Below are 15,917 nucleotides of genomic sequence, written 5' to 3'. Positions count from 1 at the left end.
GAAAATTGAGGCTCAGCAAGGTCAAGATCTTGCCCTAGGTCACACAAGTCACACAACTGGTAAGGAAAGAAGGAATGATGGCCAGGTCTTTCAGACAGCTCACAGCATGCTCCCTCCCATGTCCCACTCCTGCCCCTCCACCTTGACCACAAAGCCCACCTAAGGGGGGATAGCCGACGTTCAGCCACATCCTCCAGCCATCAGGTCAGTGACAGTGGAGGCCCTGCTTTGGGTGCAGTCCCTCCTCTGAGCACAAACCTATTCTCTTCTGAAGGGCAGCAGCTCTGGGAAGAAGGCCAACGAAGGTGGTATAAGCCAAGACCTGCTGTGTGCGTGTCTGGACCCTAATTAACAGCCGAGAAGTCCACTTCCCTTGCCAAGAGGACTGGAAAGATGGAAGAGATGGAAGCCTCTGTTTCTGTACGTGGCCACAGGGCATGGGCTCCCCCAGGGAAGGCCCCAGACCAGACTTTATATTCTCAGAAAAGCTCATTTCCATGAAACAAGCAGCATGATTTGGCCCCTACTTCAGGAAATCTGGGAACAGACACACAGTGCCACCAAAAATCATCCTGCCCACACAATGCAGTTACAGGCACAAAAGTAGCAGGAGAAAAGCTATACTTAGCTGCAGGTCCACATGTGCACACAGGCACGTCCCACGCAGTTATCTGCATGTCCTGAGTTGGGTGTGCATGCTCGTGCACAGATAAGTGTACAAAACAGCACACATCGACACACTCATACACACCATGCACATACATACAAATTAAAATAGATATATTTGTACATACAATATACATTTAGCATGTTCATGCTAAATGTATATTGTATGTACAAGTATATTCTTTTTTTTTTTTTTTCGAGATGGAGTCTCACTCTGTTGCCCGGCTGGAGTGCAGTGGCACGATTTCGGCTCACTGCAACCTCCACCTCCCGGGTTCAAGCAACTCTCCTACCTCAGCCTCCAAAGTAGCTGGGATTAAAGGCGCATGCCGCCACGCCCAGCTAAATTTTTAATATATTTTTAGTGGGGACAGGGGCATGGGAGAGAGCATGTTGGCCAGGCTGGTCTCGAACTCATGACCTCAAGTGATTCGCCCACCTTGACCTCCCAAAGTGCTGGGATTACAGGCATGAGTCATCATGCCTGGCTAGTATATTCAGGTTTGGTTTTTTGTTTTGTTTTGTTTTTTTTTTTTTTTGAGACAGAGTCTTGCTTTGTTGCCCAGGCTAGAGTGCAGTGGCGCAATCTCGGCTCACTGCAACCTCCACCTCCTGAGCTCAAGTGATTCTCCTGCCTCAGCCTCCTGAGTAGCTGGGATTACAGGTGCCACCACCATGCCTGGCTAATTTCTGTATTTCCAGTAGAGACAGGGTTTCACCATGTTGGCCAGGCTGGTCTTGAACTCCTGACCTCAAGTGATCCACCCACCTTGCCTCCCAAAGTGTTGGGATTACAGGCGTAAGCCACTGCACCCGGCCAGTATATTCATTTTAATGTCTACACACAAGAATGAACATATACACACTCAGATGCATGCACACACCAGCACACATGCCCACCCAAGAAGAGTTTGGAGCCTGTCTATACCCTTCTTGGGCCCTTCCCAAGAAGAGTTTGGAGCCTGTCTCCCCAGGACTTACTCCTTCAACAGCAGAAATCATGCAGGAAGGACTTTGGTTCCTGCCATCTGAGAAGTGAAGGGATGGATGGATGGATGGATGGATTGGTGGGTGGGTGGGTGGGTGGGTGCGTGGTTGAATGGATGGATGGATGGATGGATGGATAGATTGGTGGATGGATGGATGGATGGATGGATGGATGGATGGATGGATGGATGGATTGGTGGATGGATGGATTGGTGGATGGGTGGGTGGGTGGATGGATGGATGGATGGATGGATTGGTGGGTGGGTGGGAGGGTGGATGGATGGATGGATTGGTGGATGGGTGGGTGGATGGATTGGTGGATGGATGGATGGATGGATGGATGGATGGATGGATGGATGGATGGATGGATGGATGGATGGATGGATGGATGGATGGATGGATGGATGGATGGATGGATGGATGGATGGATGGATGGATGGATGGATGGATGGATGGATGGATGGATGGATGGATGGATGGATGGATGGATGGATGGATGGATGGATGGATGGATGGATGGATGGATGGATGGATGGATGGATGGATGGATGGATGGATGGATGGATGGATGGATGGATGGATGGATGGATGGATGGATGGATGGATGGATGGATGGATGGATGGATGGATGGATGGATGGATGGATGGATGGATGGATGGATGGATGGATGGATGGATGGATGGATGGATGGATGGATGGATGGATGGATGGATGGATGGATGGATGGATGGATGGATGGATGGATGGATGGATGGATGGATGGATGGATGGATGGATGGATGGATGGATGGATGGATGGATGGATGGATGGATGGATGGATGGATGGATGGATGGATGGATGGATGGATTGGTGAATGGGTGGATGGATGAGTAGAAGAAAGTAAGGTGACATCATATTTTGAATCCCAGCAGAAGCCAATTCCTCAGCACCCTCTGGACACCCATCCTAATGCTGACTCCTTTTGCTCCCCAAAAATGTTTTCACCCTTTGAAGTTTTAGGGATGATTCCATATCCCCTGGACTTCCGACTCCTGTATCCAACTGTCTACTAACACCTCCACTTGGATATCAACCTCCCCCGACAAACTCAGAATGTATAAAACCAAGCTGTTGACCTTCCCCAAAACACTTGCTGCTCCTGCTCACTTTCCTGCCTCAATTAATGGGCCCTCCCCGGTTCCAGCTGCTCATGCCAATACCTGGAACTCACCTCTGACTCTTCTTTCATACCCCTCCTGGAATTTATGAGGAAATTCTGATAGCTCTACCTTCAAAATACATATGTAATCCAACTGCCTCTCACAATCGCCATTGTTGCCACTCTGGTTCAAACCGCATCATCTCACCTGCATTCTAACAACAGCCTCCTCACTCCTCTCTGCTTCTGCCCTTGCCCCCAGGTCTATTCTCAACAGAGTAGCCAGAGTGATTCTACTCAGCACAAGCCAGCCAGATAGGGTGGCTCACTCCTATAATCCTAATGCCTGGGGAGGCTGAGGCAGGAGGATTGCTTGAAGCCAGGAGCTCAAGCCTGGGAAACAAAGCAAGACCCTGTCTCAAAAAAAAAAAAAAAAAAAAAAAAAAGAAAAGAAAAGAAAAGAAAGCAAATAATAGAAAAAAATTGAGAAAAATTGATGAAACCAAAAGTTGGTTCTTTGAAAAAATCAGCAAGATAGACAAACCTTTAGATAAACTGACCAAGAAAAAAAGACTCAAATTACTAAAATTAGGAATGAAAGGGGGGACATTACTGCTCACCTTATAGAAATGAAAAGAATTAGAAGGAACTGTTATATAATATAAACTATTGTGTGCCAACAAATTAGATTAACCTAGAATAAATGTACAAATTCCTAAAAAGATACAAACTACTGAAACAACTCAAGAAGAAATAGAAAATTTGAATTGACCTATAACAAGTAAATATTGAGTTAGCAATCAAAAAACTTTCCACAAACAGAAGCCCAGAACCAGATGGCTTCGCTGGTGACTTCTTCCAAATGTTTAAAGATAAATTAACAAATTCTTCATGAAGTCTTCCAAAAAACAGAAGAGGAAGGAACACTTGCCAACTCATTACAAGGCCACTACCCTGATACCAAAACCAGATGAAGACACCACAAGAAAACTGCAGACCAATATCTCTTATGAATGTACGTGCAAAAATCCTCAACAAAATACTACAAACTCAAATCCAGCAATTCAGCCAGGCACGGTGGCTCACACCTGTAATCCCAGCACTTTCGGAGGTTGAGGCAGGTGTATCACAAGGTCAGGAGATCGAGACAATCCTGGCTAACAAGGTGAAACCCCGTCTCTACTAAAAAAAAAAAAAAAATACAAAAAATTAGCCAGGCGTGGTAGCAGGCGCCTGTAGTCCCAGCTACTCGGGAGGCTGAGGCAGGAGAATGGTGTGAACCCGGGCGGCAGAGCTTGCAGTGAGCCGAGATCACGCCACTGCACTCCAGCCTGGGCCACAGAGTGAGACTCTGTCTCAAAAAAAAAAAAAAAAAAAATCCAGCAATACATAAAAATGATTACCCACAATGACCATGGCAAACATATCCCAGGAATGCAAGGTTGGTTAAACATATAAATATCAGTCAATGTAATAAACTGTAGAAATTGAATAAAGGACAAAACTACATGATAATTTCAATAGATGCGGAAGACAAAAGCCAGATGTCTCACTTCTTAGAACAAAACTCCATCTCACCCAATGCCCACAACATCCTACATGATCTGGCACCCATCATCTCTCTGTCCTCACGTCCCTCTCCCACTTCTCTCTCTGCACTAATCACAGTAGCCGCCTTGTTGTTATTCAAACCCATCGGGTACACTCCTGACTCAGGGCCTTCACAGTTGCTGTTCCCTCTACCTGGAACACTGTTCCCCCGAATATCCACATAATTCACTACTTCACCCCCTACAGGTCTTTATTCAACAACTACCTTCTCAGAGAGGTCTCTCTGGCCACCCTACAAAAAATTGCTACCCTCTCCTCCCAATACTCACACTCTCCCTATTTCCTTCCCAACAATACTTCTCTCCTAAGCCTTTATTATTATCTGAAATACTCTGAATTTTACAATAAAATTCACAATACTTATATATCTTGTTTGTTATCTATCTCCCTCAACTAGAATGTAAGTTCTCTCAGGACAGAGACATTTTTGTCTGTTTTATTCACTGCTATATCTACGGCATTGGTTTATTTATTTATTTATTTAGACATGGAGTCTCGCTCTGTCGCCCAGGCTGGAGTGCAATGGCGCAATCTCAGCTCACCGCAACCTCCACCTTCTGGGTTCAAGCGATTCTCCTGCCTCAGCCTCCCCAGTAGCTGAGACCACAGGCACACACCACCATGCCCAGCTAATTTTTTGTATTTTTAGTAGAGACAGGGTTTTGCCGTGTTGCCCAGGCTGGTCTTGAACTCCTGACCTCAGGTGATCCGCCTGCCTCGGCCTCCCAAAGTGCTGGGGTTACATGTATGAAGCACCGCACCCAGCTGCCTATATCTACAGCATTTAAACTAGTATGCCACTTAATTGACAATCAATAAATATTGGTTGAATAAACAAATGAATACAAACAGTTTGTCACTCGACTCTTCACTCAGCCAGCAGTGACTTACCTCACCCACCTGTCCACGTGCCTGACACTGTGCTTCAAGCTGGAGTGCAGAGAAAGACTAGAACCAGACCTGGACCCTGCTAAACTCACAGACAGGGCTGGGAGAGGAGTCAGAACGTACGTAACTGAGACCCCAGGACGACAACACTGGGCGTACTAAGGGAGAGAGGGTCAGGCCCAGCAACCAGGGAGGAATCCATGGAGAGACGGTGGTAAGCTGGCCCTTGAAGGCCTAGAATGCTCTGGACACATGGAGAAGGGAGTGAGGATGGGGAAAGAGAGGGAGAGGGGAGGAATGACTAGGGAATCAAGAGGGGACCTGCGTGGCAGGACTTCAGTGGAGGAATAAGGCTCCTAAGGTTATTGGAGAAGTTCATGAGGGGCTTTAAATGCCGGGATAAGGGGCTGGGCCTAGTTCCACAGGCACCAGGGAGCCATGCGAGGCTTTTGAGCAGGGAAGGGAGGTGGTGTCAGAAAGCTCACTCTGTCAGCCAGGCACAGTGACACATGCCTGAATTCCAGCTACTCGGGAGGCAGCATGGGCAGGATCACTTGAGGCCAGGAGTTCAAGACCAGCCTGGGCAACACAGGGAGACCCTGTCTGGAAGGAAGGAAGGGAAGGAAAAGAGAAAGAAAAGAAAGAAAGAAAGAAGGAAGGAAAGAAAGAAAGAAAGAAAGAAAGAAAGAAAGAAAGAAAGAAAGAAAGAAAGAAAGAAAGGAGGGAAGGAAGAAAGAAAGGAGGGAAGGAAGAAAGGAAGGAAAGGAAGGAAGGAAGGAAGGCGGGTGGGAGGGAGGAAGGGAAGAAAGAAAGAAAGAAAGAAGAAAAGAAAGAAAATGGAAAGAAAGAAAGAAGAAAGAAGGGAGGGAGGGAGGAAGGAAAGAAAGAAGAAAAAGAAAATGGAAAGAAAGAAAGAAAGAAGAAAGAAAGGGAGGGAGGGAGAGAGAGAGGGAGAGGAAGGGAGAGAGGGAGGGAGGGAAAGAAAAGAAAAGAAAAGAAAGAAAAAGCAAGCAAGCTAGCTAGCTCACTCTGGCAGTGTGTGAAGAACAGAAGAACAGACTGTAGTGGGTGAGCAGGAAGACACGGAGACCAGGAAGGTGGCTTCTAGAACAGTTCTGGAGAAAGACAGCAAGGCATGAGCCAGGGAAGGGCAGAGAGGACGGAGAGGAGGGTAGGCCTGGGAGAGGTCAAGGGCTTTGTGACTGACAGTTGTTGGGAAGGAAGAACTGGAGCCTGAATCTCAGGTCAGAACATCCGAGCATTCTACGGAGGCACAGACAGAGCCAAGGGGTGGGGGCGGGATGGCATCACCTCTGAGGGTTAGAGTTCTGGCCGCAGAGGCTCAGCATCGGTGGGTACCATGCCAGACCCAGCAGCTTCCCAGCGCCAGAGGAGGGATGCACTCTGGCCCTGCCCGCCTTTCTGCCCCTCAGCCCCAACCCCCAGGGCAGGCCTAAAGAAGAGTTTCTCCAGCTGGCTTTGGCGGCCAAGACGCAATGTCATTTCTGGATGAGACAACCAGCTCTAGAGATGCGCCAGGCTGCAGGGTGCAGGGGGTGAGGGGGGGGCAGCTGTGTCCCCAAAACACAGCCAAGGAGCACCTCCCAGAACCAACCAAGACAGTGGCAGAAGCAGGGCTGGCAGGGGGCCCCCAGCCCCAGCTGGCTGGTACAGGGACAGCTTTGATGGGGCCTCCATCTGCCTGGGCCCCAGCCTCCCTGTGAGGTCAGGCCCCACCAGCCCCCATCAGCTCCCACCAGCCAGAAGTGATGGTCCCCTCCCTCAGTCAATAAGCATTAAGGGATTTACTAGTGCCTGGGGTGTGCCCCGCTGTTTCTGGATCAGTGCACTATGAAGGACACAGACTTTGGAGGCGTCACGGCCAAGTTGGAGGTTGATTGTTTGTTTGTTTGTTTTGAGACAGGGTCCTACTCTGTCACCCAGGCTGGAGTGCAGTGGCATGATCAGAGCTCACTGCAGCCTCTATCACTGGGGCTCAAACAATTCTCCAGCCTCAGCCTCCCCAGTAGCTGGGACTACAGGCATGTGCCACCATGTCCAACTAATTTTTTAATTTTCTGTAGAGACAGGGTCTTGCTACATTGTCCAGGCTGGTCTCTAACTCCTGAGCTCAAGTGATCCTCTCACTTTGGCCTCCCAAAATACTGGGATTCCAGACGTCAGCCACTGCACCCAGCCAGGTGTTGGAGTTTTGTCTGTCCCACTATTTACCTGATTCTATCTGTGGGCTTCAGTTTTCCAACCTGTCAAATGGCATAAGAAAAAACCTTCCAGGCTGGGCGTGGTGGATCATGCCTGTAATCCCAGCACCTTGGGAGGCCGAGGTAGGCAGATCACTTGAAGTCAGGAGTTTGAGACCAGCCTGGTCAAAATGGTGAAACACCATCTCTACCAAAAATACAAAAATTAGCTGGGTGTGGTGGCATGGGCCTGTAATCCCAGCTACTCAGGAGGCTGAGACAGGAGAATCACTTGAACCTGGGAGGCAGAGGTTGCAGTGAGCTGAGATCGCTCCACTGCACTCCAGCCTGGGCGACAGAGTGAGACCCTGTCTCAAAAAAAAAACCAAAAAAAACACAAAAACAAAAACCAAAAAACACAACAATTAGTGGCATGCCCCTATAATCCCAGCTGCTGGGGAGGCTGAGGCAGGAGAATTGCTTGAACCTGAAAGGTAGAGGTTGCAGTGAGTCTAGATCGTGCCACTGTACTCCAGCCTGGGCAATAGAGAGAGACTCCGTCTCAAAAAAATAAAATAAAATAAAATATGAAAAGAAAAAACCTTCCCCACAAAAGTGTCAGTCGTGAGGACTAAATAAGAGCACGTGCAGAAGAGAATGACAAGACTTTCTAGTCTTCAGGAATTTCTGCAGAGACCCAAGGCTGAGAACAAGGGATGAGCAGTGCCCACATCTCAAGAGAGGTGCCAGCACACCTTCAGGACTCGGCGAGAGAACAGAGCTATCCCATTTGGCCCCCCACTGCTTGCGTGGAAGTCATGCTCAGGGGAGGATTTATTGAAAGAGTTCTGCTCTTGACCAGGCGCGGTGGCTCATGCCTGTAATCCCAGCACTTTGGGAGGCTGAGATGGGCAGATCACTTGAGGACAGGGGTTCGAGACCAGGCTGGGCAACATGGCAAAACCCCATCTCTACTAAAAATACAAAAATTAGCCTGGTGTGGTGGTGCACGCCTGTAGTCCCAGTTGTTCAGGAGGCTGAGGCAAGAGGATTGCTGGAGCCCAGGAGTTCAAGACCAGCCTGAGCAACATAGTGAGAGCCCCCATCTCTAAAAAAGTTAATAAATAAAGAATAAAGAGTTCTACTCTTAAGCTGAGTGAGGGGCTTCAGGTGACACTCACCCCCCCCCCACAGAGGGCAGTGCTTGCCAGGAAGGAAGCTGGCCTTTTCTCCCTGACTGGACGCTGGCTAAATGCTGAGCCTCCTATACCAGGACAGCCTGAGGGGCGTGCATAGAAGACGTCTTTAGGACACTCAGATGCATGTCATCTGGCATTCGGGGAGAATGGACCCTGGGCCCTGACTCCCCCAAGGGAAGTCTGTGGGTGGGGATGCCAGATGGAGTAGTCTGCAGTGTCGTGGGAGGGGAGAGGGCGGCAGTGGGGGAGGCCTCCCTTCCCGACATCCTACAGGGCTCAGATGGACACCGTGGAGGGAGACACGGTGCTCATGAGAGGGGGCCCCTTGCAGGATTGCCTACCGGGGCAAGACAGCCTGGCTGGAAAGGCAACCCTTGCATCAAGGAATTGGGCAAAGCAAAAACCAGGGCCAGAGACCCCAAAACGCCCACAAAGTACCCCCCACACCCCGCCTCTGGGCATCTGCCACATGTGGGGCACCGACAGTCAGCAGAAACAGCTCCGGACACAGGCAATACTTGGCCTGTTCTCAGTCATCCTTCCTTGCCTGCTCATCTCTGGAGAGGACAGAATCGCAAGGGGAGGGGAGATGTCAGGGATGTTGGGGTAGAAGATGGAACAAGGAGAACAAAACCGGACGACAGCCCTGCCTCTTCCCAAGGCAGTTTTCTGGTCCGGATAGAAGCTTTGTTTGGGGCTGGGCGTGATGGCTCACACCTGTAATCCCAGCACTTTGGGAGGCCGAGACAGGCGGATCGCCTGAGGTCAGGAGTTTGAGACCAGCCTGGCCAATGTGGCGAAACCCCATCTCTATTAAAAATACAAAAATTAGCTGGGCGTGGTGGCTCACACATGTAATCCCAGCTACTTGGGAGGCTAAGGCAGGAGAATCGCTTGAACCCAGGAGGCGGAGGTTACCGTGAGCTGAGATCGCGCCACCGCACTCCAGCCTGGGCAACAGGGTGAGACTCAGTCTCAAAAAAAAAGGCTGGGTGCAGTGGCTCACGACTGTAATCTCAGCACTTTGGGAGGCTGAGGTGGGTGGATCACGAGGTCAGGAGTTCAAGACCAGCCTGGCCAACATAGTGAAACCCCGTCTCTACTAAAAATACACAAAAAAATTAGCCGGGCTTGGTGGTGTGTGCCTGTAATCCCAGCTACTTGGGAGACTGAGTCAGGAGAATCACTTGAACCCAGGAGGTGGAGGTTGGTTGCAGTGAGCCAAGATCGTGCCACTGCACTCCAGCCTGGGCGACAGAGCAAGACTCTGTCTCAAAAAAAAAAAAAAAAAAAAAAAAGCTTTATTTGGAAGCAGGGCTAAAGTTGTTTTGATTTCAGTGGGACCAGACTGTTTAGTTCATGTGTGTGACTAGAGAAGCAATGGGCTCTGGCCATGGGTAGGAGATGCAGCCAAACTAGTGTGAGGACAATAAAGTTGTGGCTGGTTTACTTTTCCAAAGTCCAGTCTGCTCAGTAAACCTGGTTAACATGTGCAAGCGCATCTGTGTCTGCAGCCACAGGGCCCAGGGCCATGGAGCTGGGAAAGGAGGAGAGGTCTAGCCCCTCTGCTTGTGGCTGGGCTGGCGTCATCTTCCCAGAAGCAGTAGCCCTTTCCCATGTTGGGGGACAGGCAGGGCTGGGGCTTTGGGGAGCCAGGGACACGGCTGCACACAGGGACCCTCTGGCTCTGGTCCTGCCCTTTGGGCTCCCTGTCTGTGGACAGGCCCCATAAACCTTGGTGCCTCATGGGACCCAAACAGGTGCTGAGCCCAAGTGGGAACGTGAATTCTGGTGTGAGGATAGAGTGGTAGGGGAAGGCTTTTGGAGGAAGCGGACTTTGAGTTGAGTCTTGCAGAAGGAGGATTTCAGGATGCACAAAAGAGGAACTGGTGTTCTTGGTGGAAGAAATGGACGCGTGCAAAGTCTGGGAAGTGTGTGTGCCCACACGGCTGGCACAGCCAGAGTGTGAGGCCCATGAAGGGGTGTGATGGGATGTGGATTTGGAACACTTGATATTACCATGATTATTGCCCTTAAAGCAGCGTCCACATTGGCCATAACCAATCTGGGCCTTGCTTCCCTCCTCTGTAACCTGGGGAGAATTGCTCTATTTCTTCTTGGGCCCACAATATGCCCTGGCAATAAATGAGTCCTATTTTCTCAAATTAACACATTAACCCAATGCTCAGAGGACACCTTTTACAGTCAGAAAAGCTCAGGCTCAAATCCCAGTTCTGCCCCTTCTTCACTGTGGAACTCCTGGTAAGCTTCTCTCTCTGTTTTTTTCCCCCAAGATGGAGTCTTGCTCCATTGCCCAGGCTGGAGTGCAGTGGCGCAATCTCAGCTCACTGCAACCTCCACCTCCCGCGTTCAAGCGATTCTCCTGCCTCAGCCTCCCAAGCAGCTGGGATTATAGGTGCCTGCCACCATGCCCAGCTAATTTTTTGTATTTTTAGTAGAGACAGGGTTTCACCATATTGGCCAGGCCGGCCTTGACCTCCCAAAGTGCTAGGATTACAGACATGAGCCACCGCGTCCAGCCAAGCTTCTCTTTACTGATCTGTAAAATGGGGATAACAAGCTCTACTCAGAAGGAGTGATCAACATAATTGTACATAAAGGCCGGGCGCAGCATGAGCCTGTGGAAACAGGAGTTCCTCGCCCCCCAACCCTGTCCCCACCTCCATAGAGGCTCTCACTTACATAGGAGGCCAGCAGGGTGGTCGGGGCCAGGACGAGAGCCAGGTAGAGGCAGGGGGCTGTGGCAAGCAGGCTGGAGGCGCAGATGAGGGGCTCAGCTCCTGGAATGACTTTCTTGTACCTCCTCGCAGCTTCTGCCCCCAAGATGACCCCAATGACGCCGGTCATGATGGTCAGTGCCCCAAAAATCAGGCTGATGGGGAAGAGCACAGAAGGGTTGGTCAGCTGGGTGAGCTTAGCATAGGGACTCTTATCCTGCTCCCAGCCCCAGGTCTAGCCCCTCGGCTCAAGTGCATGATCTGGTGTCTACAGGGAATATGGCTGTGGGCCCCTGACCTGACCCAGAACCTTACCCACCCTCCTCACTGATACTCCCAGGGACCAATGTCCCACTGCTCTCCCCTACCCCCTTTCCTGCCTCATCTCCTGTCTCATCCTGGGGATCCCACTGGCCATGTGGGTGATCACCCTGCACCCCAGGTCCCAGCCTGCCTCATCTCCATTGACCCTTACCCTTTCACCCCCCAAAACTGCCCCACTCAAAATCTGAATTCCAGGGTCCCACCCTGGCCCCAACCTTCTCTCTTTCCAGCTCCCAGTACTAAGAGGAATGGAGGGAAGCAAACATGTATTTACTGAGCCCCTGTGATACACCTGGCCCTTGTCTGGGCTCTCTACACGCCCTCCCTCCTTGAATCCCATCCTTCCACTCCCCGTCTTTGAACCCCTCTCAGGCAGCCCCTACCTGACTTCCGTCCCTTTCCCACCCACTTTTAGAGCCACTTCTACTCTGCTTGGCTTCCCCTTGTACATCCTTCCTGTGGAGACCTGTCCCTCCAAAATAACCTCCACAAAGGCTCCCCAGGAGTGCATTTTGTGGCAGGAGATCTGTGGTGGGAGGAGTTCCAGATCAGAAAGATTTTGTCTCTACAAAAAATTTTTAAATCATCCAGCCTTGGTGGCGTGCACCTGTAGTCCCAGCTACTCAGGAGGCTGAGGCGGGAGGATCGCTTGAGCTCAGAAGTTCGAGGCCACAGTGAGCTATGATCATACCACTGCACTCCAGCTTGGGCAACAATTCCCAGATGGATAGGTGAGCAAGGTGAGGCTGAGAAAAGTCAAGGCCAAGATTACCCAGCTGGTAAATTACAGACCAGGATTTGAATATACTTCTTCACCCTCCTGGTCCATTGTGCAACCTCCAGCCCCCTTTTAAAGGAGCTCAAAGGGGACCAGGCAAGGTGGCTTAAGCTTGTAATCCCAGCACTTTGGGAGGCCGAGGTGGGTGGATCACTTGAGGTCAGGAATTCAAGACCAGCCTGGCCGATACAGCAAAACCCCGTCTCTACTAAAAAAAAAAAAAAATACAAAAATTAGCTGGGAACAGTGGTGGGCACCTGTAATCCCAGCCCACTCAGGAGGTTGAGGCAGGAGAATCACTTGAATCCGGGAGGTGGAGGTTGCAGTGAGCTGAGATCACACCACTGCACTCCAGCCTGGGCAAGAGAGCAAGACTCCGTCTCAAAAACAAAACAAAACAAAACAAATAAAGGAGCTCAAAGGGAACGCTGAGACTGTGCCCACTGTGAACTCTTGAAAACACCAGTCCAACCAGGATCTTTCCAACCTCTCAATAGCTCCCTGTCGTCCTCTGAGCAAGCTCCTGACCAGCACTGATGACTCTGCGGGACTGGTCCACGCTGACCGATGTAGCTTGCCCTCTCTTCTCCCACCCTCACTTTGCACAAATGACTGAGAATTCTCTAAATTCTCTACCAAAAGTACAAAAATTAGCTGGGCGTGGTGGTGTGCGCCTGTAGTCCCAGCTACTTGGGAGGCTGAGGCAGGAGAATCGCTTGAACCCGGGAGGCCGAGGTTGCAGTGAGCCGAGATCGTGCTACTGCACTCCAGCCTAGCAACACAGCAAGACTCTGTCTCAAATGGAAAAAAAAAAAAAACAAAGAAGAAGAAGAAGAAGTGCTTTCTAAACCTTCCCAGGCTTCCAAGCTGTGCGAGGTCTGGCTCAGCCCAGTCAAATGACCCAAATCCCGGATGTATGCTAGCTGCCTCTGAGTCCTGGTCTGGGCTGACCTTGGCAGGTTCTCGAGATATTCATGAGACTTAGGATTGATTATTTAGACAGGCTGCCTGAAAATGCACCCCCGCCAGCCCCTAAGCAGGAGGGGCAGCCAGAGGACATGCCCCAGCTACCAAGCCCTTCATGTTCCCTCCATCCACACAGGGCCCTCCCAGCATCACAGACTCTTACAGCCAAGAGAGCCCTTAAGGATCTGTAAGTTCGGCCGGGCACGGTGGCTCACGCCTGTAATTCCAGCACTTCGGGAGGCTGAGGCGGGCCAGTCATTCGAGGTCAGGAGTCCGAGACCAGCCTGCCCAACATGGTGAAACCCCATCTCTACTAAAAATACAAAAAAAAAAAAAAAAATAGCTGGGCATGGTAGCACATGCCTGTAATCTTAGCTACTCGGGAGGCTGAGGTAGGAGAATCACTTGAACCTGGGAGGTGGAAACTGCAGTCAGCCAAGATTGTGCCACTGCACTCCAGCCTGGGCAACGAGAGTGAAACTCTGTCTCAAAAAAAAATAAATAAAATAAAATAAAATAAAAATAGCCAGGCATGGTGGCGTGTGCCTGTGGTCCCAGCTACTTGGGAGGCTGAGGTGGGAGGATTGCTTAAGCCTGGGAGGTCGAGGCTGCAGCGAACTGTGTTTGTACCACTGCACTCCAGCCTGGTGACAGAGTGAGACCTTGACTCAAAAAAGAAAGAAAAGAAGAGAAGTAAGGAAGGGAGGGAGGGAAGGAGGGAGGGAGGGGTAGGGAGAGAGAGAGAGAGGAGGGGAGAGGGAGAGGGAGAGGGAGGGAGGGAGAAAGAAAGAAAGAGAGAAGGAAGGAGAGAAGAGAAGAGAGGAGAAGAGAGAAAAGAGGAGGAAGGAGGAGGAGGAGGGAAGGAGAAGGTAGGCGTGGGTGCAGTCAGCAGAGGACGAGTGTCGCCAAAACCCTGGGGGAGGATGGAGCTCCAGGGAAGAAGATAGCATCCCCAGGAGCCCCCAGGACCCACCAGGACAGGGTCAGAGAGGAGGAGGGGACTGCAAGGAGGCTGGAGAGCAGCCCCTGGAGGCAGGGAGGAGGCCGGGGTGAAGGGTTCCAGGAGGAGGAGGAGAGAAGGAAGGGAGGATTGAAGGATGTCCTTGACTCAGCATCAAGTGGTCACTGGAGCTCTTGGAGAACAGGGTCAAAGGCGATAGGAACAGAAGTGGAGCCCAGCCGGGCAGCAGACAGCCAGGCAGGAAGCGGGAGAGGGCGTGCCCTGAGGGCAGAGTGCCCGCGCCTCCCCTCCCGGCAGCCTTCCCACACACGTGAAATCCCAAAACCAGCGAAGTAACAAGGCCTCCCAGGCCCCAGTTTGCCATCTGTAAAATGGGATGCCCTCACAGAAGACGCTACAGGCCCCTCTAAAGGGTGGCTGCCTAAGGCTCCTCTCATCCCACAGCCCCACAGAAGCCTCACCCCCATTTCCAACCAGTGCCTTCTGGAGCCCACAGCAGCCCCAAGAGTGGAGATATGGGGAATTCAGCCCAGAGAGGACAAGAGAGTTGGCCATGGCCACCCAGAGTGGCAGAGGCTCAGCCAGAGCCAGAGCCAGGCCTCCTGCTGCCATCTGGGTCCTGAGCTCCACTGTCTTCACACAGCACCAAATGCCCCACCCCAAGAAACTGAATTTTGGAGCTCAGAACCTCAGAACTTCCTCAGCAAGAGCCCCCGAGCCGGGCCAGGTGCCCAGGGCCCCCGGATGCCCTCACCTGTCGGGGTTGCTGCACGGCTCCTGGAAGCAGGGAGGCTGCAGCCCGTGAACCACGCGTGCCTCGAGCAGAAACTTGGGGGCCCAGAACCCCAGGGCTCCAGTCACAAAGGCCATGGCGGTCACTCCGAGGGTCGACCACACGAAACTCCAGCTGCAAGACGAGGTGCCCCAGCTGGAGTTGGGAGAGGGCTGGGGCTGAAGGGGCCTGTCCACTCCTCCCCACTCCTGGGCAGTCTAGGAACTTTCCCATCTTGTCTCATTACCTTCAAGATTCCATAGGTAGCATTTGCTACCCCCTCTTTACAGATAGGCAAACTGAGGCTCCGAAGAAGAAGACACTCAGGTTACCCCAAGCTCCAGCCTCCAGATCCTTCCTGGCAGCACCCTGAGCTCCAGCCTCCCCAACATTTCTGAGACCCCCCCAACTCACACACCTTGCCTCCTCCTCCCTCCTCTCTGCAGGACCAAATCTCCCCATCCTGGGAGGCCCCCATCCAGCATCACATTCTCCAGGAAGCTGTCCCTGCCTGCCCTGTCTTCCTCTGAGTCCTCCCGACCAGTTTCACAGCTCAGTAACAGAATTGAATCCTGTCCATGCCCTGCCTTGCAGTGAATCATGAGGCCTGGGACCAGCAATTGACTCCTGCCTGCCTCCCCCAGCATGGCTGGCACAGAGGATCATGCACGCCATGAGGCTTGGA

General features: G+C 51.4%; 1 protein-coding gene across 10 annotated transcripts in view, besides 1 other annotated feature; it reads right to left on the bottom strand.

Moving 5' to 3' along the window:
* The window catches only part of SPNS3 (SPNS lysolipid transporter 3, sphingosine-1-phosphate (putative)), a 54,265-nt gene that overhangs the window by 23,603 nt on the left and 14,745 nt on the right, over window positions 1-15,917 (bottom strand). For 7 of the 10 annotated variants that reach the window (XR_934008.1, XM_047435588.1, NM_182538.5 and 4 more), the window contains 2 exons: window positions 15,215-15,367; window positions 11,397-11,586 (listed from right to left, as the gene is read on the bottom strand). Coding sequence is in view for 9 of the 10 variants with exons in the window: in XM_047435588.1 (XP_047291544.1) it covers window positions 11,397-11,586; window positions 15,215-15,367 (343 nt within the window). In the remaining variant the exon portion in view is untranslated. Of the gene's footprint in view, window positions 1-10,015; window positions 11,254-11,396; window positions 11,587-15,214; window positions 15,368-15,650; window positions 15,914-15,917 lie in introns of those variants that run through there. The other 3 variants (XM_017024345.3, XM_047435589.1, XM_011523725.1) reach the window with 3 other exon arrangements.
* Window positions 14,244-14,744: an enhancer, noted in NCBI's record as "H3K4me1 hESC enhancer chr17:4353153-4353653 (GRCh37/hg19 assembly coordinates)". NCBI's record gives its function as "activates a minimal SCP1, AML or CMV promoter by ChIP-STARR-seq in primed H9 embryonic stem cells {active_cell/tissue: H9 hESC(primed)}" and the evidence as "EXISTENCE:reporter gene assay evidence [ECO:0000049][PMID:30033119]".

This window comes from Homo sapiens, chromosome 17, assembly GCF_000001405.40.
Source record: "Homo sapiens chromosome 17, GRCh38.p14 Primary Assembly".
Taxonomy (NCBI): Eukaryota; Metazoa; Chordata; class Mammalia; order Primates; family Hominidae; genus Homo; species Homo sapiens.
The sequence above is the reverse complement of the archived record's forward strand: the minus strand, read 5'-3'. Positions and strand labels throughout refer to the sequence as shown.